This window comes from Homo sapiens, chromosome 6 (genome assembly GCF_000001405.40).
Source record: "Homo sapiens chromosome 6, GRCh38.p14 Primary Assembly".
Lineage (NCBI taxonomy): Eukaryota > Metazoa > Chordata > Mammalia > Primates > Hominidae > Homo > Homo sapiens.
The window spans coordinates 5,782,991-5,804,929 of NC_000006.12; the positions used below are offsets into that span (position 1 = coordinate 5,782,991).

Consider the following 21,939-nt stretch of genomic DNA (forward strand, 5'->3'; position numbering starts at 1 on the left):
CTCACAGAGCTTCTCTGTCCCCTACAGACAGGCACCACAGAACCCTGGGAGACAGAAAGCTAAACAAGCCCAGCCTCCCTGCCTCACGCCTCGGGGCTGACTGGCTCTGACGTGGTTCGGCTGTGCTGTTCCAGCCTGGGACGGAGCACCCCGCTGCTTGGCCTTTTCCGTGCCTGCATCCCCAGCAGGCTCTAACTGGGATTTGCTGGGGACTCACTCCAGGCCAGGAGAGGGCCTGTGAGCTCTGGCAGTTTGTGCCGTGTGTGGGCAACAGATCTGAGAAACGCTGTTTAATAGGGTTGCCTCAAGCACATTTTCAAGATGAACACAGGAAGACTAGCAAAGTGGTGAATAGTTTGGACTTTGGAGTCAGGCGGTTCAAGTTCAAATCCAGTGTCCTTGAGCACCCGCTAAGCTCCCTGAGCCACACCTAAGAGTTAAATGGCACAGTGTGTGCAAAAGCTGCTAAAATCAGGCCGAGAAGTCGACAATGAAGGGAAGACGGAAGGGATTGTGAGGTCTGGGAAGTGTCTGGAAAAACGTCGCATCGCAGAAGGCCTGTGGTGTTAGGATATGCGTTTTGGTTTTTGTCCAGGTTCCTGGCTCCCAGCACCCACATTCCTTGTTAGAATGCTGGGGCGCCTTAGGACTCAGGAAACAGAATCTCTCTCTGACCTTCTGCTGTTTTTCTTTCACTTGCCCACGGCGGGATGCTAATCTGTTTGTGGATCAAAAAACCCTCACTCCACAGAAAGTCCTGCCCCATACCCTAGAGGAAGGAATGCTGCTTAGAGAAGCCAAGAAAAGTCCGAGCAGGCCGGCCTTGCTGGGTTTAAGTCACACGCTTTCTGTCCGGTCACACTTCCGCGTGGTTGTCAAGCATGCCCGTGCATCGGAGCCTCCATAAAAACCCACGAGGACAGGGTCCGGGAGCTTGCGGATACCTGAACCCGTGGAGGCTCCTGGAGGGTGGCACGCCCAGGATGGGCACCGAAGCTCCAGGCACCTTCCCCCATATCTCGTCCTGTGCTTCTCTTTATCTGTACCCTTTGTGACATTCTTTCATATAAACTGGTAAACGTGTTTCCCTGAGTTCTGTGAGTCGCTCCAGCAAATTAATCAAACACAAAGTGGGAGTTGTAGGAACCCCAACTTGAAGCCAATGGGTCAGAAGCTCTGGAGGCCTGGCCCTGCGACTGGTGTCTGAGGGCTGAGGGGTACTCTTGGGACACTTGAGCCCTCCCCCTCTGGCATCTGACGCTATGTATCTCTGGGTAGATATTAAATAGGCCCATTAAACAGTAAATCTCAGGTCTGATGCCCACACAGGGCATGAGCTTCAAGAGTTCACAAACCATTGTCTTTGACTGATGAATGCCTGTTTGTGGGTTCATCAGTCAATTCACGACTTGCAAGACTGCCCTCCAGAGCTGACACTTCACGGAGCTGTTTACTCACTGCTGGGTAACATTCCTTTGAACGTTCTTAGGCTCTTTACAAATGTTAATTTATTTATGTCCATAGCTCATGGTTAGGTAGACGGTAAATGTTCTTTCAGGTGATGAGCGTATTCAGCACCCAGAGAGGTGGAGGGGTGGGTTCAAAATCACACAGAAGCCCACTGGGGCTGACTGTATTTGTCATGAGGACCAGTATGTATCACCAGGAGTTAAAATGTCACTTTGTCACTCTTTCAAGCTAAATGTCAAGAAAGCAATTAGGGATGACCCAAAGGCTTGGAGGCCGGGAACAGCCTAGCCATCCGGGAGGCCGCATGTGGCTCCCTGTGGCTGGTGCAGGCTTTAGGAAGGATGGTGAGAGGTGTGCTGGGAGGGCAGGTGTCACGGCTGCTTCGTGACACCTTACCTTACTTGCTTAGCTTACACCAAGTAAGGTGTGAGGTGACCACACCACGTTAGCAAAGACAAAACAAAGATATCGGGGTTCTGTGATGCCAGCCAGGGAAACAGGTGGTGAATGCTCAGGAGCCCAGCCTGAGGCTGAGAGCCCAGCTGGGGACGCTGTGGGAGACAGCCTGGGGACAGAGAGGTATTGATCCAGAGGACAGACCTCCAGGGATAGAAAGGGCCTGACAATGGCCTGCTGGGACGTGGGTGAGGGAAGAGGTGAGGGGTGAAGGAAAGTGGTCATCTGCAAGCCAGAGGATACAGCAGGAGAAGGGGTCTGGAGAGAGAGACTGGGGTGCGCGCAGGACCTCCCATCTCTGGTCACTGCTGTGTCCTGCAGGCAGCTCAGCTTCTGGCTTCCCTGGGAAAGTGCCCCACAGCCATCTAGAAAAAAACGAATTATCTCCCCTCTTCATCGCTGCCTCCCCTCATAGGTGGGTTAGAATCACAGGACACCACAGCTGGAAGGAAGCTTAGCAACGGTTAAGTCAGCCCCTCTGTGGCAGAGAAGGGGACACCCACGGTCACAAGGTCTGAGCTGTCTGTGGCAGAATCAAGACTCTCAGACCCAGAGTCCCAGGAGACAGCCAAGGACGTGTTCTCAATGCTTTGATGACCTTCTCGTCACCAAGACACTCATGTCTGATTTCTCTCCCCGCGGACCCCATGTTTTAAAAGATTTTCATTCACCAAAACAACTGCATTTATTAAGTAATAATTTATTCATTTTCCCATTTTTAAAATTAATCAAAGATACACATAACTGCCAGCCTGAGAGCCAGAGTCTCTGATCAGCAGGCAATAACCCTTATTACCACCATGGGTTGATTTAATTTCTGCCAAAAGCAAAGACACTTGACATTTTAGACAGCCTGAACAGCTTCATTGTGCGAAAGTGGAGGTTTTCCATTACACTTAGTGAAATATTCAAAATAGCTCCCAGACCCTGGTCAATAATTCATGGCACCCTTGGCCTCCAGGGATCCCTGCTGGGAACCACCGCACCATATCATTTGTGCAGGAGGTAAGATGCAAAGGGAATCTCACTGTCCTAGAGTCTCAGCAGCAAACTGTTAAGGGATTTGTAGCCTGGATCCAGTCAGAAGCCTTGGACAAACCACTCAGTCTTCCCTGAGCCTCAGGTTTCCCATCAGTAAGGTGGGAATAAGATATCAGTCAGGGTTCCTAGTTGCAAACAACAGAAATAAACTCTGCTTATATTAAGGATAAAATAATGTATTAAAAGGATACTGGGAAAAATAGCTTGGCAGTTCCTCCACAAGTTAAACATAGAATCACTATATGACCCAGCAATTCCATTCCTAGGTCTATATCCGACAGAATGGAAAATAGGTCTCCACACAAAAACTAGTACATGAATATTCATAGCAGCTCTATTCACAATCACCAAAAGCTGGACACAACCCACTGTCCATCAACAAATGAATGGGTAAAAAAAATGTAATATATCCATGCAGTGGGATATTGTTTGGCCATAGAAAGGACTGAAGCTCTGACACATGTTACAACATGCATGGGCCTTGAAAACATTCAAGGAAAGAAGTCAGACCACAGAATGTATGGTTCCATTCATATCAAACACCCAGAAAGGGCAAATCCATGGAGATGGAATGCACTCGTGGTTGCACGGGACCGTGTGGGGAAGGGAGGAATGAAAGCGGCTGCTTCCTGGGTACAGGGTTTCCATTTGGGTGATGAAGTTCTAGAACTAGAGAGTGGTGATGGCTGCACAACATTGAGAAAGTATTTGATGTCACTGGATTGTACACATGATGTCTGGCAAGTCGCAGAGCAGCTGGGTGTGTGGGAACCATGCCCGTGACTGGTCCTCAGGGATGCTGCTGCTGCAGCCGCTGAGGGTCCTAGTTGCTGGGTGCTGCACCTGCACTGCTGACCCAGGGTCTCCATGGCCTGCAGCTGTGCTAGCTGCCCGAGAGAGGGCCTTGGGGGCCCCTGAGACTCTGGGCAAATGCCTCTGATTGGCTGCCTCACATCCCAGCTTACACCGTAAGGACGGCTGAGAAAGCAAGTCCCTGGCATTTTTATCTTCTGCTGTGGGAGTCAGTCCCTGCCTCCCACTGAGACACAGGAGGGGGAATTCTCCTAAACACAGGAAGGCGGCAGAGAGGTGCTTCAGGACCACCAGCGTGTGCAGAGTTAACGACTGCTTCAAAGACAGAAGAGAACCTGTCTGAGGCGTGTGGTGCATGGGGGATGTGCAGGAAATGCTAAGACAGGGGCAGATCACAAAGTCTATATTGCTCTCTAAAGGTTCTTCATGGGTGGCAACTTTCCCTCCCCTCTTCAGCCTCCTCTGAACGCCCCCCACCACTGCCACCACACAAAAACTCATTAGTCAGAGACAGTTGCTCTCTCACCTTTCCTATCTAGATGTTTCTAAACTTTGAACAAGATGATAATCGCAGCTGCTCATTTGTCTAGCAGACACTAATCCTTGCCTCTGGGCTCTGTGATGTGCTTTGCAGTTTAGCACAAGGACCTTGCTGCTGTCCACTTAGAAACCCAGTAATGGTGAGATGGTGCTCAGGAGCGGGCTGGAGCTGTGGGGACCTGGTCTGCCCTCTGCGCCAGGTGACAAAGCCCCTGTCTTCTGTTTGGCCACGATCCCCATGGTACCATTCACAGCCCCTCCCAGCTGGGTGTGAGGGTGGGGCGCTTTGGAAGGTCTTGCCTCTAATCTCCTATACAGACAATTCCAGAAGTAAATAGAAGCAAAATAGGATGCGAGTTAGGTTTTGTTTTGTTTTTTTGTTTTTAAGGGGTAAATCTTGATATAATTTTAAAATTTCACAGAAGTTGCAAATGTAGTACAAAGAGCTCCCATATACCGTTCACCCGGATTCAACGATGGTTTAACATTTTATGCCATTTGCTTTTTCACTTCTCTCTTCCTCCTCCTCCCTTTTCTCTCCTTCTCCCTCCCCCCACAGACTCTGCCATTTTACCTCTAAATGCTCCAGTGTGTATTTCCCAAAAACAAATACCATCTTGTACATGATCACAGTGTAATTATCAAAATCCGGAGACTTAACACTGATACAATATTATTACCTTAATCCTCAGCCCATAATCAAAGCTCACCAATTGCCCAATAATGCCCACTATAGCTTTTTGGAGATTTTCAAGATGTCGATTTCTAGTTTAATTTCACTGTGGTCAGAGAACATGCTCCCCAAAATGTCAACCTTTTGAGATTTACTACATCTAATTCTCTGGTTCCTCCCTTGTCTCCCCAGCACTCCAGCTGGCTCCTTCTGGAAGTTTCCCTGGACTCTCTGCCACTCAGGCATAGCTGAGAGGTCAGTTGAAGACCTGGGGGAATTTCTACACAGGTTTTAGGGCTCCCCCCTTGCTCCTTTCTTTTTTTTAAGTCTTTTCATTTTTATTACTCAAAAAGTTTCATTTTTTATTTAGCTTTCTGACCCCGTGCATGTGCCTTCAACACTTTCACAACAATTTTCTGCTCCTCGATAAGGAAAGCGCCCTTGATCCTGTCACAGACACATTTAGCACACATCAAACCACCACAGGCCCTGCGGACATGTTTCCTTGTGTTGGACAATCTCATAAGAACTTTAGGTCTTACAGCAAGAACCCCTCGAAGTCTGCCTGGGCACACGCCACATGCAGATTTTGGTGCTTTCCCAACCTTCTTGGTATAAAGGTAAACAATTCCATTACCAGGGGTTCGGGGGAGCCTAGTTTTGTTAAAGGCTGTATTTCAGGAAAGCCTACGACAGTATGTCAAACGCCGGACCATTCTGAGTGCCTGCAGACAACATCCCTGGAAGTGCTCCCTTCCTCCTTTCCGCCTGGCGTTTCCCCCCTCATTTTCCAGCCATTTAGGAATCGCTTCTCATCCGCTGAGCCCTCAAGGCAGTGAGAGAGGCTGTACTTTCTGTATCAGCCCCAGCTGGAAAGCCAGGCAAACCCTCATCCCTTACAGATGGACACTCTTCCGGTTTCTGCCTGTTCTTAACCACTTTCCAATAGTTCTTTAAGAAACTTTAAATAGTTTCTTAACTATTTGAAGAACTATTTAAAGAAGAACTATTTATTAAATAGTTTATTATCTATTTGAAGAACTATTCAACTGAAGAACTATTTGCCTTCAAATAGTTCTTTAAGAAAACATTTTTTTGTCCAGAGTTTATACATCAACACACACACACACACACACACACACACACACACACGTGCACAGACACATATAATTAGGAATGCATCTTGTTTGTGTCTCATTCCGTAATATGTTACTATCACTCAAAATAGTACAAACTCGACCCTAATATGACAACTTTTAATTTTGGTTGGATTCACCAGATTCAATTGTTTATTTATCTGATTTCATTATATCATGATTTCTCCTTAACATTCATGAAAAGGTCTTTTGGGGACTTAATGTAAGTGACAACAGAATTCAGTGTGATGAAACCAAACATATATGAAATGAACCAGATGCCATATGGTTAAACCTATGAATATGTCAACCAGCAATTCACTGGCGCATAAATGTGCAAATGAGGAAACGTTCAAACACTTCAGCTTGTATTTTACAAAACAGTGTTTAAATATTTGACATAGTTTAGTAATATTTTAGAAAAATGGCCTACCTAGTCTGGATGATGTATGCGTTTGCTGGGGTTACTATAAGGAAGTTACACACACTGGGGGCATAAACAGCAGAAGGTTATTGCCGGGTAGTCATGGAGCCTGTGAGTCCAGGATCAAAGTGTCAGGTTTGGATTCTCCTGCAGCCTCTCTCCTTGGCTTGCAGACTTCCCTCTCTATGTGTCTGTATCCCAATTGCCTCTTTTTTTAACGTTTATTTGAAGTTCATGGGTACAAATGCAGGTTTGTCACATAGGTAAACTTGTATCATGGGGGTTTGTTGTACAGATTATTTCATCACCCAGGTATATTAAGCCTACTTCCCATTCATTATCTTTCCTGATCCTCTCCCTCCTCCCACCCTCCACTCTCTGATAGGCCCCAGTGTGCGTTATTCCCCTCTATGTATCCACGTGTTCTCATCATTTAGCTCCCACTTACAAGTGAGAATATGTGGTATTTGGTTTTCTGTTCCTGTGTTTGTTCGCTTAGGATAACGGCCTCCAGCTCCATCCATGTTCCTGCAAAGGACATGATCTTGTTCTTTTTATGGCTGCATAGTATTCCATGGTGTCTGTGTACCACATTTTCTTTATCCGGTCTACCATTAATGAGCATTTAGGTTGATTCCATGTCTTTGCTATTGTGAATAGTGCTGCAATGAATATACACATGCACACAAATGACTTTAGATTAGGACAGACCCTCATGGCCTCATTTTAACTTAACCACCCCTGTAAAGACTTCAGAAGATCAGGACTTCAACAGTGAATTTGGGGGGACACAACCCAACCCATAACAGATGGACAGTCTCTCCCCCTGCCTGCCTTTGGTATATTAACTCATATTTTACCTAAGAGTAGAGTGGACTCTATCTTAGGAAGGGTGGAAGCTGTGCCCTGGAGAGCCAAACCCTGACCAGAAAACCCATTCAGAGGTGCTGGAGATTCTAGGGGTGCTCCTCACACCCTGTGTCCGGGTGATTCCCTTGCTCCAGGAGGCAGAGGTGCAGGATGAACTCTGGCGTGCTTCCATGCACTGTCTCTTAGGACCGGCTCATTCTTAATCTGACCAGCATCTGCTTTACATTTGTTTTTTCTACTTAAAAATATTAGCAGTCATGGTCAGGTGCAGTGGCTTATGCCTGTAATCCCAGCACTTTGGGAGGCCAAGGTAGGGAGATCACTTGAGGTCAGGTGTTTTGAGACCAGCCTGGCCAACATGGAGAAACCCCATCTCTACTAAAACTACAAAAATTAGCTGGACATGGTGGCAGGTGCCTGCAATCCCAGCTACTCAAGTTGCAGTGAGCCAAGATCATGCCATTGCACTCCAGCCTGGGTGACAGAGGGAGACTCTGTGTCAAAAAAAAAAAAAATTGTAATCATGGACATGGTAACCAATCAAATGCCACAAAAGAACTTATAATGAAAAGACCCCATATTCCATCATTAAAAAATTACATAGTGGGATGTATTTAATGTGGCATACATTTGAATGAACTCTCTTTTTTCCCAGCTTTATGGAAGTGTTACTGACAAAAAATGTTTACATTTATGGCGAACAACATGAAGTTTTGATATATGTATACATTGTGAAATAATTACCACAATCAAGCCAATTAACACATCTACCACCTCACATACCTGTCATGTTTTGTGGAAGGAACATTTAAAATCTACTCTCTTAGCAATTCTTTTTTTTTTTTTTTTTTTTTTGAGATGGAGTCTCGCTCTGTTGCCCGGGCTGGAGTGCAGTAGCGTGATCTCGGCTCACTGCAAGCTCTGCCCCCCAGGTTCACGCCATTCTCCTGCCACAGTCTTCCGAGTAGCTGGGACTACAGGCGCCTACCACCATGTCTGGCTAATTTTTTGTATTTTTAGGAGAGACAGCATTTCACCATATTAGCCAGGATGGTCTCGATCTCCTGACCTCGTGATCCGCCTGCCTCGGCCTCCCAAAGTGCTGGGATTACAGGTGTGAGCCACCGTGCCCGGCCTCTCTTAGCAAGTTTTAAGAACACAATACATTGTTACTAACTATACCCACCATGATGTACGATAGGTCTCTAGAGCTCACTCCTCATGTCTAACTGAAACTTCACACCCTTTGACCAGCATTTCCCCATTCTTCTCACCCCCGGGCACTGGTAACCACTATCCTACTCTCTGCCTCTATAAAGTTCAACTTTTTTACACTCCACCTATAAGTGAGATCATGCAGTATTTGTCTTTCTGAGTCTAGCTTATTTCACTTAGCATAATGTCCTCCAGGTTCATTCATGTTGTTGGAAATGTATTTTTTAAGGCTGAGTAGTATTCTGTTGTGTTAGTGAGGATGTGGAGTATATATATCACATGTGTGCATATACCACATTTTCTTCATTCATCCATCAATGGACACTTAGAGTTTGATGGCATGTCTTGGCTACTCTGTATAATAATGCAACAAATGTGGACGTGCAGATATTTCTTCTAGATACTGATTTCATTCCTTTGGATATATCCCCAGTAGTGGGATTGCTGGATCACGTGGTAGTTCTATTTTTAATTTTTTGAGGAACCTCTAAATTGTTTTCCATAATGGCTGGTCTAACTTACATTCCCACCAACAGTACAAGGGTTCCTCTTTCTCCACATCCTCACCGACACCTGCCTTTGGTCTTTTTGATAAAAGCCTTTCTCAAGGTGTTAGGTGATACCTCATTTTAATTTGTAGTTCCCCGATGATTAGTGATGTTGAGCATTTTTTCATAAACCTGTTGGTCATTTGTATGTTTCATTTGACAAATGTCCATTTAGGTTGTTTGCCCATTTTTGATCAAGTTATTTGCTTTCTTGCTGTTGAGTTGTTTGAGTTTCCTATATATTTTGGACATTAACCCCATATAGGATACATGGTTTACACATATCTTATTCCATTCGGCAGGCTGTCTCTCCACTCTGTTGTTTCCTTTGCTGTGCAGAAGCTTTTTAGTTTGATGCAATCCCACCTGTGTTTGCTTTTGTTGCCTGTGCTTTTGGGATCATGTCTAAAAAATCATCATCAAGGCTAATACCAAAGAGCTTTTTCCCTATGTTTTCTCAAAATGGATTAAAGACTTAAACATAAAACCTGAAATGTAAAGCCACATTCCATCATTTTAATCAGTCCCTGGCAAATACTTACAACTCATTTGCCCTGCTTGTCGCTCTCATGCTTGCCTGGAAAAATCCCTCCCCTGGTGTCTGCATCTCTGCACCCACCCACACGTGTGAACCCAAACAGCCTGGAGACAAAGCCCAACCAGTGCCAATGGGTGTCACTCTGCGTTGCTGACTGGACCTCAGTGGCCCCTAATTATTGCCAGCCAATCCCACTGCAGTTTATTAATCAGCTGGCTCCTCCTTTTCCTGGATACCAGCTCATACTCCTCTGTCCTGGAGCCTCCAATGCTCCTTCCTCCTGCTCTCACTCGAGGGGAGCTGGGTCCCATTCCCAACTTACCTGGGACATGGAAGCTGTCAGAAGAGAGTGCCTTTATGCTCCCGTACCTCACCTCCCGTTTCCTACACAAGTCACTGGGTGTCTACCACAGCTTGTGTCCCCCTTCGTCTATTCCAGGATTTCACTCAGCCCTTATCCATTTTAATAAGTCTGATATGTCCACACTTTGAAACTGCTTGGCCTAAAGAGGGTGAGGCTGTGCTTTGATGCCATGAGAATTTCCTGAGCAGCCTTCTCCCGCCTCCTGTGGGGTCTGCAAGGGAAACCTGAGCAGGAAACCCCAGGCACCAGAGGGACGTTCAGCAGCCACTTTCAGTAAAATGCCATTGCCTAACAGCTTAATTACGAGCTGAAATGAAAAAAACAAATAAACAAATAAAACCCTAACCTCCTTTTCTATGCTTAATTCCATTCCTAGTGACCTTCTTTGATGGAAATAGAGAAATTCTGTTGTTGTATTGAAGAAGTATCAAATTTCCCACATGTGCATTTCAGCTTCTCAGAACTCATGGTTGCCATGGGCTGTGGTGCAAGCTTATCTGCCCCTGGCCCACACAATGTCCAATGTCATGTCATGGGACCCCTGCCACTTTGTGACATAAAATGTAAGAACATTGAATGCTACTGGCTGGGTACGGTGGCTCACGCCTGTAATCCCAGCACTTTGGGAGGCCAAGACGGGCGGATCACAAGGTCAGGAGATAGAGATCATCCTGGCTAACACAATGAAACCCTGTCTCTACTAAAAGTACAAAAAAATTAGCCAGGTGTGGTGGCATGTGCCTGTTGTCCCAGCTACTCGGGAGGCTGAGGCAGGAGAATTGCTTGAACTCAGGAGAGGGACATTGCAGTGAGCCAGCATTGCGCCATTGGACTCCAGCCTGGGCGACAGAGTGAACTCTGTCAAACAAACAAACAAACAAACAGAAAACACGTAATGCTACTTTGAGGCTAATGTAGACAATATGTGTTTCCCTGCCACAAGCCAGCCTACATTTGGCTGTGCCAAGGTAGAGGGCAGGAGCTTGCCTGGAGTAGGCAATACTGTGGGATCCATCAGGAAAGCCACCCCCTGGTCTGCAGAGGACTGTTCTGTGACCGAAGAGCTTACAGGAAAGGTCAATGTCGACTCAAGGTTAACTTAGGTCATTCAGTGTGTTTTGACTGAGAGTTTATCACATATTGGGTGCAGTCCTAGGCAAGTGAAGGTAGTGTCACTGTCAACAAGGATGTCACAGCCCTGCCCTCATGTTGCTTATATGCCAGTGGGAGGGAAACATGAAGACAGATAAGCAGGCAAATAACTATGTGCAATTGTAGTGGGGGCTGTGAAGAAAATGAGCATAGGCCTGAACCAGAGTGGCAGTGGTTGCATTTTAGGGGTATTGGTCAGGAGAGTGTCTCCGGAGGTTGACATTGAAGCTGAGACCCAGTGGATGAGAAGGGGCCACTTGAGTGGAAGACATCATCCTGGCCAAGGGCAGACCCAGAACAAAGACCCGAGATGAGGCAGAGATGGGTGATTATGAAACAGAAGACCCATCAGTGTGGCCCCTGGAGCAGAGGGACCAGGGAGAGGCAATGCAATGAAGCTGGGGAGAAGGGCCTTGCAGCCAGATGAGGAGTCTGGATTTCAATCTCAGAGAAATGGGAAGCCCTTGGAAGGTTTGAGAAAGAGTGAGCCATTGTCTGATTTGTCATCTAAGCAGTTTAGTCTTGCTGCTTTGTGTGAATGGATTCAAGGGGGTAAAAGTGGACATGGGAGACCAGCTGGAGGAGGCTGTAGTCATGGGGGTTGGAGGTCAGGGTGACTGGGACTAGGGAGGGAGAAGAGGACGGAGTTGAGATGGGTTGATTGGATGCAAAGAATAAGGGAGGGGTGGCATCAAGTATGGCAACTGTGTTTTAGGGCCCATGGATCTTGGTGTCTGGCAGAAAAAGCTGGAGGTGCATGAGTTTTAGGGGTGGGAGTGGAGGTGATGTTAAAGAAAAATTACACTAGACAGAGTTTAACAGGCCAGGAAGACTTTATTCCAGACTATCGCAATAGGAAAGGAGACTGAACTCAAGTCCAAATGCAACAGGGGCAGCCATGGATTTATGGCCAGCAGACAGGGTGAGGGGTCACTGGGCAGAAAATTACCAAAAGGAACTTGGTTAGGCATCAAGAGTGGGGAGAGTCTCACCAATCTGGGCTTGGCAGGCTGAGGATGAGGCCTAATCTAGAAGAGAGCTGAGTAGGGCCTGACTCAGGTTTCACCAAGGAGGGGGTGTTAGTTCGTTTTCATGCTGCTGATAAAGACATACCCAAGACTGGGAAGAAAAAGAGGTTTAATTGGACTTACAGTTCCACATGGCCAGGGAGGCCTCAGAATCATGGGAGGAGGCGAAAGGCACTTCTTACATGGCAGCAGCAAGAGAAAATGATGAAGAAGCAAAAGCAGAAACCCATGATAAACCCATCAGATCTTGTGAGACTTATTCACCATCAGGAGAATAGCATGGGAAAGACCAGGCCCCATGATTCAATTACCTCCCCCTGGGACCCTCCCACAACATGTGGGAATTCTGGAAGATACAATTCAAGTTGAGGATTTGGGTGGGGACACAGCTAAACCATATCATTCTACCCCTGGCCTCTCCAAATCTCATGTCCTCACATTTCAAAACCAGTCATGCCTTCCCATCAGTCACCCAAAGTTTTAATTCATTTCAGCATTAACCCAAAAGTCCACAGTCCAAAGTCTCATCTGAGACAAGTCAAGTCTTTTCCACCTATGAGCCTGTAAAATCAAAAGCAAGCTAGTTACTTCCTAGATACAATGTGGGTACAATTAATTGGTAAATACAGCCATTCCAAATGGGAGAAATTGGCCAAAACAAAGTTACACGCCCTATGCAAGTTCAAAATCCAGCAGGACAGTCAAATTTTAAAGCTCCAAAATGATCTCCTTTGACTTCAGGTCTCACATCCAGGTCACTCTGATGCAATAAATGGGTTCCCATGGTATTGGGCAGCTCCGCCCCTGTGGCTTTGCAAGGTATAGCCTCCCTCCTGGCTGCTTTCACAGGCTGGCGTTGAGTGTCTGCAGCTTTTCCAGGCAAATGGTGCAAGCTGTTGGTGGATCTACCATTCTGGGGTCTGGAGGATGGTGTCCCTCTTCTCACAGCTCCACTAGCCATGCCCCAGTAGGGACTCTGTGTGGGGGTTTCAACCCCACATTTCCCTTCTGCACTGCCCTAGCAAAGTTCTCCATGAGGGCCCTGCCCCTGCAGCAAACTTTTGCCTGGGCATCCAGGCGTTTCCATACATCTTCTGAAATCGAGACAGAGGTTCCCAAACCTCAATTCTTGACTTCTGTGCATCCACAGGCTCAACACCACATGGAAGTTGCCAAGGTTTGGGGCTTCCATCCTCTGAAGCCACAAGTTGAGCTCTACGTTGGGCCCTTTAATCCACAGCTGGAGAGGCTGGGACACAGGGCACCAAGTCCCTAGGTTGCACACAGCACAGGGACCCTGGGGCCAGCCCATGAAACCACTTTTTCCTCCTGGGCCTCCAGGCCTGTGATGGGAGAGGCTGTCCTGAAGGTCTCTGACATGCCCTGGAGACATTTTCCCCATGGTCTTGGGGATTAACATTAGGCTTCTTGCTACTTATGCAAATTTCTGCAGCCAGCTTGAATTTCTCCTAAGAAAATGGGTTTTTCTTTTCTATTGCATCATCAGGCTGCAAGTTTTCTGAACTTTTATGCTCTGTTTCCCTTTTAAAACAGAATGCCTTTAACAGCACCCAAGTCACCTTTTGAATGCTTTGCTGCTTAGAAGTTTCTTCTGCCAGATACCCTAAATCATCTCTCTCAAGTTCAAAGTTCCACAAATCTCTAGGGCAGGGGCAAAATGCTGCCAGTCTCTTTGCTAAAAGATAACAAGGGTCACATTTGCTCCAGTTCCCAACAAGTTCCTCATCTCCATCTGAGACCACCTCAGCCTGGACCTTATTGTCCATATCACTATCAGCTTTTTTGCCAAAGCCATTCAACAAGTCTCTAGGAGTTCCAAACTTTCCCACATTTTCCTATCTTCTTCTGAGCCCTCCAAACTGTTCCAACCATTTGCCTATTACTCAGATCCAAAGTCGCTTCCACATTTTAGGATTATCTTTTCAGCAGCACCACACTCTGCTGGTACCAGTTTACTGTATTAGTCCGTTTTCGCACTGATAAAGACGTACCCGAGACTGGGAAGAAAAAGAGGTTTAATTTGACTTACAGTTTTACATGGTTGGAGAGGCCTCAGAATCATGGTGGAAGGCAAAATTTACTCCTTACATGGCAGTGGCAAGAGAAAATGAGGAAGAAGTGAAAGCAGAAACCCCTGATAAACCCATCAGATCTTGTGAGACTTATTCACTATCACGAGAATAGCATGGGAAAGACCGACCCCCATGATTCAGTTACTTCCCCCTGGGTCCCTCCCACAACACATGGGAATTCTGAGAGATACAATTCAAGTTGGGATTTGGGTGGGGACACAGCCAAACCATATCAGAGGGTATCCTTGTAAATGAAAAGGGGAGGACTTAGGCTCTTGTTGGGTGTAATAAGTTTGAGATGTCCAAGAATAGATGTTGAGTACATGCCTCAAAATGTAAATCTGGAGCTCAGGGGACAGTTCTGGGTGGGATATACAAATTTGATCATGACTATAAAGATGGTTTGGGGAAGCTATGACCACCACTGAGCTCTCAGACCTGTGATGTAGAGTCTGACAGGCCAATGCCAGCCAGAGCTTTTAAATCCTGTATGGAATAATTAAGTACATAGCTATGGCTTGAATGTGTTCCCCAAAGTTCATGTGTTGGAAACTTAATCCCCAGTGCAATGATATTGAAAGGTGGGACCTTTAATAGGTGATTAGGTCATGAGGGCTCTGCCTTCGTGGATGGATTAATGCCATTTTCAGGGGGGGTGGGTTAGTTATCTCAAAAATGGGTTCCTGATAAGAGGATAAGTCTGGCTCTTTTCCCTTCTCTCCCTCTCTCTCCCTTTCTCCCACCATGTGATGCCTTCAACCATGGGATGACATAGCAAGAAGGCTCTCCCTAGATGCCAGCACCTTGATATTAGACTTCCCAGCCTGCAGAACTGTGAGAAATAAATTTCTTTTCTTTATAAATTACCCAGTCTCTGGTATTCTGTCATGGCAGCACGAAACAGACTAAGACACATACCGAACAGGTTTTAGTCCCCCACCGCAGAGGAAGCAGGGCCCAGTCATTCTCCTGCCTCAGACTCAGAGTCCTTATCACATGAAGGCAGGTAGAGACTTACTAAGGACTGGCTTCTTATAAAGAAAGAAAATTCTCTTGCCCCTCCTGGGTGTTAACTGAATGAGAATATTTCTATTGTAGTGATGCTTAAATATATGTAATTATATAATTAAGTATAAATGCTGTCTTAATCAGTTCAAGCTACTGAAACTAACCACCATACACCAGGTGGCTGATGAGCAACAGAAATTTATTTCTTACTATTCTAGAGGCTGGAAGTCTGTGATCATCAGGGTGACAGCATGATTGGGCTCTGGTGAGGGCCTGCTTCCAGGTTGCAGCCAGCCAACTTCTCACTATGTCCTCACATGGCCAAGAGAGATTATCTCTCACATGTCTCTTCTTACAGATGCATTGTCTTAGTCCACTTGTGCTGCTACAACAAAATACCTGAGACCAATAATTTAATGGTGCATTTAAAAATAACTAAAAGAGTATAATTGGAATGTTTGTAACATGAAGGATAAATGCTTGAGGGAATGGAGACCCCATTCTTCATGATGTGAATATTATGCATTGCATACCTGTATTAAAACATCTCATGTACCCCAGAAATATATATACTTACTATGTACCCACAAAAATTTAAAGTTTAAAAAATTTTAAAAATAAACGAAATACCCGAGACTGGGTAATTTATAAAGAACAGAAATTAATTTTCCCACAGTTCTGGAGGCTAGGAAGTTCAAGATCAAGTTGCCAGTGGATTCAGTTGTCCAATGACCATCCAGTCACTGCTTCCAAGTTGGTGCCTTATTGCTGTATACTCCAGAGGTGAGGATATTGTGTCCTCACATAGCAGAAGGCTGAAGGGCAAAAGGGATGAACTTCCTCTACCAAGCCTAATGTAAGGGTGCCTAATTCCAAGCAGGAAGAAGGAACCCTCATATCCTAATCACTTCTTAAAGGCCCCACTTCTTAATATTATCACATTGGCAACACCTGAATTTTGGAAGGGACACATTCAAACCATAGCATTCCACCACTCCAACCCTGGCAACCCAAATTCATGTCCTTCTCACATGCAAAATACGTTCATTCCATCCCAATGGCTCCAAATCTCTTAACTCATTTCAGTATCAACTTAAAAGTCTAAAGTCCACAGACTCATCTGAATCTGATATGGGTGAGACTCCAGGCAGGAGTCATTCTAAGACAAATTTCCCTCCCTCCCACCGTGAGCATGTGAAATCGAACAAATTATATGTTTCCAAAATACTTTGGTGGTGCAGGGACAGGACAGACGTTTCCACTCCAAAAGGGAGAAATAGGAAAGAGGAAAAGAATAACAGATCCCAGGTAAGTTCAAAACCTAACAGGGCAAATGACATTAAATCTTAAGGCATTAAATCTTCTTTGACGCTACATTTTGGTATCTGAATTTACTGGGTGGGGGTTTGATCCCCCCACAGCCCTGGGCAGCCGCATCCCCATGGCTTTGCCGGGCTCAGCCCACGCAGCCACTCTCAGGGGTTGGAGTTGGGTGCCTGTGGCTCTCCCCAGCTGGCATTGCTTGCTAGTGTGAGTTCCAGAGTCCAGAGGCTAGAGAACCTGGAGTTCTGATGTCCAAGGGCAGGAGAAGAAGGGCGTCTCAGCTCTGATAAAGAGAGGGAGAGAACTTTGCTGTTCTTCTGCCTTTTTGTTCCATTCAGGCCCTCAGTCGGTTGGCTGGTACCTGCCCACATTGAAGGCAGATTTCCCCACACTTGGTCCATTGACCCACAAGCCGGTCTCCTTGGGAAACACTCTAGTCCGAAGTGAAACCAGCTGGGTGTCCCTTTCCGCAGAAGAGGAATAGCTCAGTGCCTGCTGCAGCATTTGGAGTGAATGATGCTTTATCAGCTTTCTGAGAACTCCTCAATTCAGCCAAGTTGACACCCAAAGTCAACCATCACGATCATTAATCCCATTATGAGGGCCCTTCCATCATGACCTAATCACCTCCCAAAGGCCTCCTAATACCTCCTAATACCATCACCTTGGGGGTTAGGATTTTAACACACAAATTTTGGAGGTACACAGACATTCAGTCCGTTGCAAATGCCTTATGCTTATAGCTATTATAAAATTATCAATCCAAAGTAAATTGAAGGACTACATAACAACAAAGCCATATGCCTTCCTATCTCCAACTGACCCTAGTTTGAGAAACCTTGAACAGAAGAATTCTAGCATCCTTTACAGTTCTTTTTATTTTTAGTTTTTGGAGTTGGAGTCTCACTCTGTCGCCCAGGCTGGAGTGCCGTGGCATGATCTTGGCTCACTGCAACCTCCACCTCCTGGGTTCAAGTGATTCTCCTGCCTCAGCCTCCTGAGTAGCTGGGATTACTGGTGCCCACCACCACACCTGGCTAATTTTTGTGTTTTCAGTAGAGACGGGGTTTCTCCATGTTTACCAGGCTGGTCTCGAACACCTAACCTCAGATGATCCATCCGCCTCAGCCTCCCAAAGTGCTGGGATTACAGGTGTGAGCCACCATGCCTGGCCTCATCCTTTACAGTTCTAACATGCAATGATTTTCTTTTAATTTTAATTGATTAGTTAACGTTTAAGAGACAGGGTCTTGCTATGTTGCCCAGGCTGTAGTTCAGTGGTTATTCAGAGGCACCATCGTCATGCACTACAGCCTGGAAATCCTGGGCTCAAGTGATCCCCCCATCTCAGCCTCCCCCGTAGCTGAGGCTACAGGTTTGGGCCATCATGCCCAGCTAACATGCAATGATTTTCTGAGCCTGCAGTGGTGAGAGAGAAGGACCAGCTTGATGCAGCGAGGATAAGAGGGCTAATTGGACAATAGTTATCTAGAGATGTAAAGTCTGCATGGAAAGCAGCATTTTAAAAAAATAGATAATAAAAACATTTAACTCAGAGAAACTAAAACAAAATGAGGGTAGAAGAAAAAGAGCAATTTTACTGCTTTTGGTGAAAAGAAATCCTTCTTCAAATTTGAAAAGGCTCAACTTTCAATCTTTTCTCACTCACTTGGCCCCATACCTAACAGGCTTAGTTAAAAAGAAATCATAAGAATAGTTAGATTTTTCTAAATAATTATGACATTTGGTTTATATTTTAAGAAGCTCAGGGTGCTATTTATTTTATTAATCATACATCAGAAGGGAATTCATGTTTACAGCTACTCACCTAGCATTACTAGTGTTATTTTGTGCATTCCTTTCTGGCACTTTGTGTGTGTGTGTGTGTGTGTGTGTGTGTGTGTGTGTGTGTGTGTATATATATGTGCAACCTCCGCCTCCTGGGTTCAAGTGATTCTCCTACCTCAGCCTCCCGAGTAGCTGGGATTACAGGCGCCCACCACCAGGCCCAGCTAATTTTTGTATTTTTAATAGAGACAGGGTTTCGCTATGTTGGCCAGGCTGGTCTCAAACTCCTGACCTCAGGTGATCTGCCCACCTCAGCCTCCCAAAGTGCTGGGATTACAGGCGTGAGCCACCATGCCTGGCCTATATCTTTTACTTCCTATAATCATGTATTCTTTTAAAACTTAAGATTGTAAGAAGTGTTGTTCTCTGTTGCCACATAGTGTTAGTTATACTTTTGTTGAGTGTAATACTATATTGCCTGGATATACCACAATTCATATAATCATCTTCCTGTCATTTAACCTGTCTCTGTTTGTCATGAGTATAAAAAATTCTGCAATGAACATCTTCGTGCATACAGCTTTTATTATCTTGTGGATTCATTTGTTTGGGCTAGATTCCCAGGTGGGAATTTCTGAGTTAAAGGGTGCTATTTTATTTCTGAAAAAGTTTCTGATGATCTAAGTAGAGATTTGAGGATAAAGCAGAGAGAAAGGCAGATTTGCAACAGATAGGAGCAAATTTTAAAATCCCGAGGGAGAAGCAGGGCTGTGTCACCCAGGCATAGATGGTCCTCTGAACACAGGGGTGTTTGGTGCTCATCTTTCTAAACCTTTCTTGATGCCCCCAGGCAAAGCTGCTGGGCGCTGAGCAACAAGAGTGATTCAGAAGCACTCTGCTCAGATCCACTGGAGGTAGCAACTCCAGCCTGCGTTCAGACATAGTTACCAAGGAGACCTCTGCATTTCCCCTCTTTTCCAGGTTAACAGTCCTGAATCTGAGCTAGATGGTTGAATAGAATTAGTTAAAAATAGGGAGAAGAAAGAAAATGGCTTTAAAAGACAATTTAACTATTAACCTCAGGAATCAGCACCAAGCGCAACACAGAACATTCTGGTCCATTCCTTTTTCTGTGTGACTTCATGGTTTGATCTTTTTTCTGAGACGAATTTATTTCCATGTTTCTTTAATACAATAGAACTACCAGCGTGTTCCAAATGCATCCAAAAAATAATAATGGTTGTGTCAAATGTCACTGCCACACAAGCCCACCAGGGCCCCTGTGGGAAATGCGCTGAGGCCTAATAGGATGATTATTATGGCCTTGTAGAAAGTAGGAACAAGGTGTCTCAAGCTCACATGCTCCATCCCCGGCATGACACCACCGCTGCCAGACTTATTACTGTGGAAGTTTCAGGACCTGGGAACATGTTGCTCCTAGCTACTCACAGGGTGCTCAGAAGCGTCCATGGCTTTCTTCTCACTGGATTTCTACATTCCTACCGGCTTTTCTTAGCTTTAAAAGCCAGCCACACAGAGGCTGAGAACTGGGTCCTGAGGTGGGTGGGTCGCTGCTGTTGTTTGGGTATGTCCTTGCAAGACCAGAATTCAGGATGTTGCTGCTTTCTACCAAGTGCGTTGTCTGTAGTTTGCAATAACAGCCTTCTTTACAGCTTTGGGCTAACAAGACAGAACAGTAGAATCTACCACTTCATGATGCGCGTAGCCCACAAACTGGGTGTGCAAAAATATATAGCTTTTCACATTTTCTAACTCTGAACTTCTATTCAGTCAGATAAAAAACATAATGATGGTTGTTCCTGGGGGGTTCCCCCCTTCCTTAGCACTGGACTGCAATCATGGGGTTTAACAAGGTACTGTTGGCCACAGGGGCATCCATTTGGTCTTTGACATCAGTACACACAGGATACAGCTGGGATGCCTGGTGACTGTCGCTCCCATATCACACCAGAGGAAAGGAACTCTGTGCATGGGCCTGTAGCCCCATCCGTCTGGACGGTGGCCATTTCCTTCCTGGAGTTGATCAACCTGTCTGAGGGGCAGCCTGGGCTTGGTGGGGGGCGGTGGCAGAAGTGGCAGGAGCATTTCTTTTAAGCCTGCATGCTTCTCTCTTCCTTTAGGTTTTCTCAAGGTGCTCTGTGAATTCCCTTTCCCTAAGTGATTATGGTTTCCTACAAAATAAAGAATCAGTAAGTGAGTTTCTTTGGTTGCAGGCCCTATTTACAGCATTAAGCACATAGCTTCTCTCTCTCTCTCTCTCTCTCTCTCATATTAATATCTTAAAATAGCACTCTGCCAAATTATTATTCTTGCAAATCCTTGTGTTCACTTAAAGAATGTGTACTTCTCATCCAGGTTTCCCATCACCTCTCAATAAGGTTGGACTTCTGTCTCTCCCAAATTAAGCTCTCTCTCTGCCTCTCTTTTTTTGTGATCAAGTCCTGTTTATTTTAGAAGCAGGAACAGTAGAAGTAGGAAGGAGTGTTGAAAACAAGGCACTGGTCCCCTTGACAGGGCCAGATCTGGCACAGGCTCTGTCTGTGTGATCAAGGTGGACTCAGCAGCTTCAATCTGCCTTTCCCTGTGAGGACAGGGTGTGAGGACAATCTGCACGCAGGTGAGTCTTCCATAAGGGTGAGGTTGAGGTAAGTTGGCTCTGGGTATCTTTGGATCAGTTGCAAAAGGCCAGAGGGCCCCCAATACCCTTGGCCAAGAGCATCCCAAGCTGGTTCTGTCTGTGCCCAGGCAAAGCCACATTCTGGAGAGGAAGCCATAGTGCCTGGTGGGCACCAGCAAGGGCTCAGGTGTTCAAGAACAACTTGCAATGAGGCTCCATGGCCAGCAAGCACCTGCTTCCCCAGCCCAGTCATCTCTGCAGAGCCTTCAAAGAGGGAGCATCCCAGGCAGCCCGACTTCACATGCACATGCACGGCAGCACCTGGCTGTGTAGGAGACATGTTCTCCAGCTGCCCTCAGGGTGGAGATGTGAACATGGACACTGGGTAAATATGGGCTTTACAGCAGATGACTGAGACACAGACACAGGAGGAGAGGCAGGCACAGCCACAAGGCAGTGACCTAGCTGGGGAGGGGAGGGCTGTTCCAGATGTGAGCAGGGCTCTGTGGCTAGGGGTGAAGGGTGTCTTTGATGGGGACGGGAGCACAGAGAGGTTTGGGTTGGGGGCCAGGAACAGGCATGACGGGCTGGTCATGCCACCCCCCCTTGAATTATACATGGCCCTTCAAGGAGGTTCCTGACTCTTGGAAAAGGCCACCTGCCACCCATGACTGCAAGTCCCTGTGTAAAGTTTCAAGTCAAATAGAGTAACTTATAAAAATAAAAGCACATCATGACCACATTGAGCTTTTCCTAGGAATGCAAAGACAATCAAAGGATGTTTATAGCAACATTCTTTGAATTACAAAACAAAATCCCAA

At 46.0% G+C, this 21,939-nt stretch overlaps 1 pseudogene, besides 4 other annotated features; it reads right to left on the minus strand.

The window, feature by feature from the left end:
* Positions 90 to 773: an enhancer, noted in NCBI's record as "H3K4me1 hESC enhancer chr6:5783313-5783996 (GRCh37/hg19 assembly coordinates)". NCBI's record gives its function as "activates a minimal SCP1, AML or CMV promoter by ChIP-STARR-seq in primed H9 embryonic stem cells {active_cell/tissue: H9 hESC(primed)}" and the evidence as "EXISTENCE:reporter gene assay evidence [ECO:0000049][PMID:30033119]".
* Positions 774 to 1,457: an enhancer, noted in NCBI's record as "H3K4me1 hESC enhancer chr6:5783997-5784680 (GRCh37/hg19 assembly coordinates)". NCBI's record gives its function as "activates a minimal SCP1, AML or CMV promoter by ChIP-STARR-seq in primed H9 embryonic stem cells {active_cell/tissue: H9 hESC(primed)}" and the evidence as "EXISTENCE:reporter gene assay evidence [ECO:0000049][PMID:30033119]".
* Positions 5,320 to 5,740, minus strand: RPL34P16 (ribosomal protein L34 pseudogene 16; annotated as a pseudogene).
* Positions 20,853 to 21,353: an enhancer, noted in NCBI's record as "H3K4me1 hESC enhancer chr6:5804076-5804576 (GRCh37/hg19 assembly coordinates)". NCBI's record gives its function as "activates a minimal SCP1, AML or CMV promoter by ChIP-STARR-seq in primed H9 embryonic stem cells {active_cell/tissue: H9 hESC(primed)}" and the evidence as "EXISTENCE:reporter gene assay evidence [ECO:0000049][PMID:30033119]".
* Positions 21,354 to 21,854: an enhancer, noted in NCBI's record as "H3K4me1 hESC enhancer chr6:5804577-5805077 (GRCh37/hg19 assembly coordinates)". NCBI's record gives its function as "activates a minimal SCP1, AML or CMV promoter by ChIP-STARR-seq in naive H9 embryonic stem cells {active_cell/tissue: H9 hESC(naive)}" and the evidence as "EXISTENCE:reporter gene assay evidence [ECO:0000049][PMID:30033119]".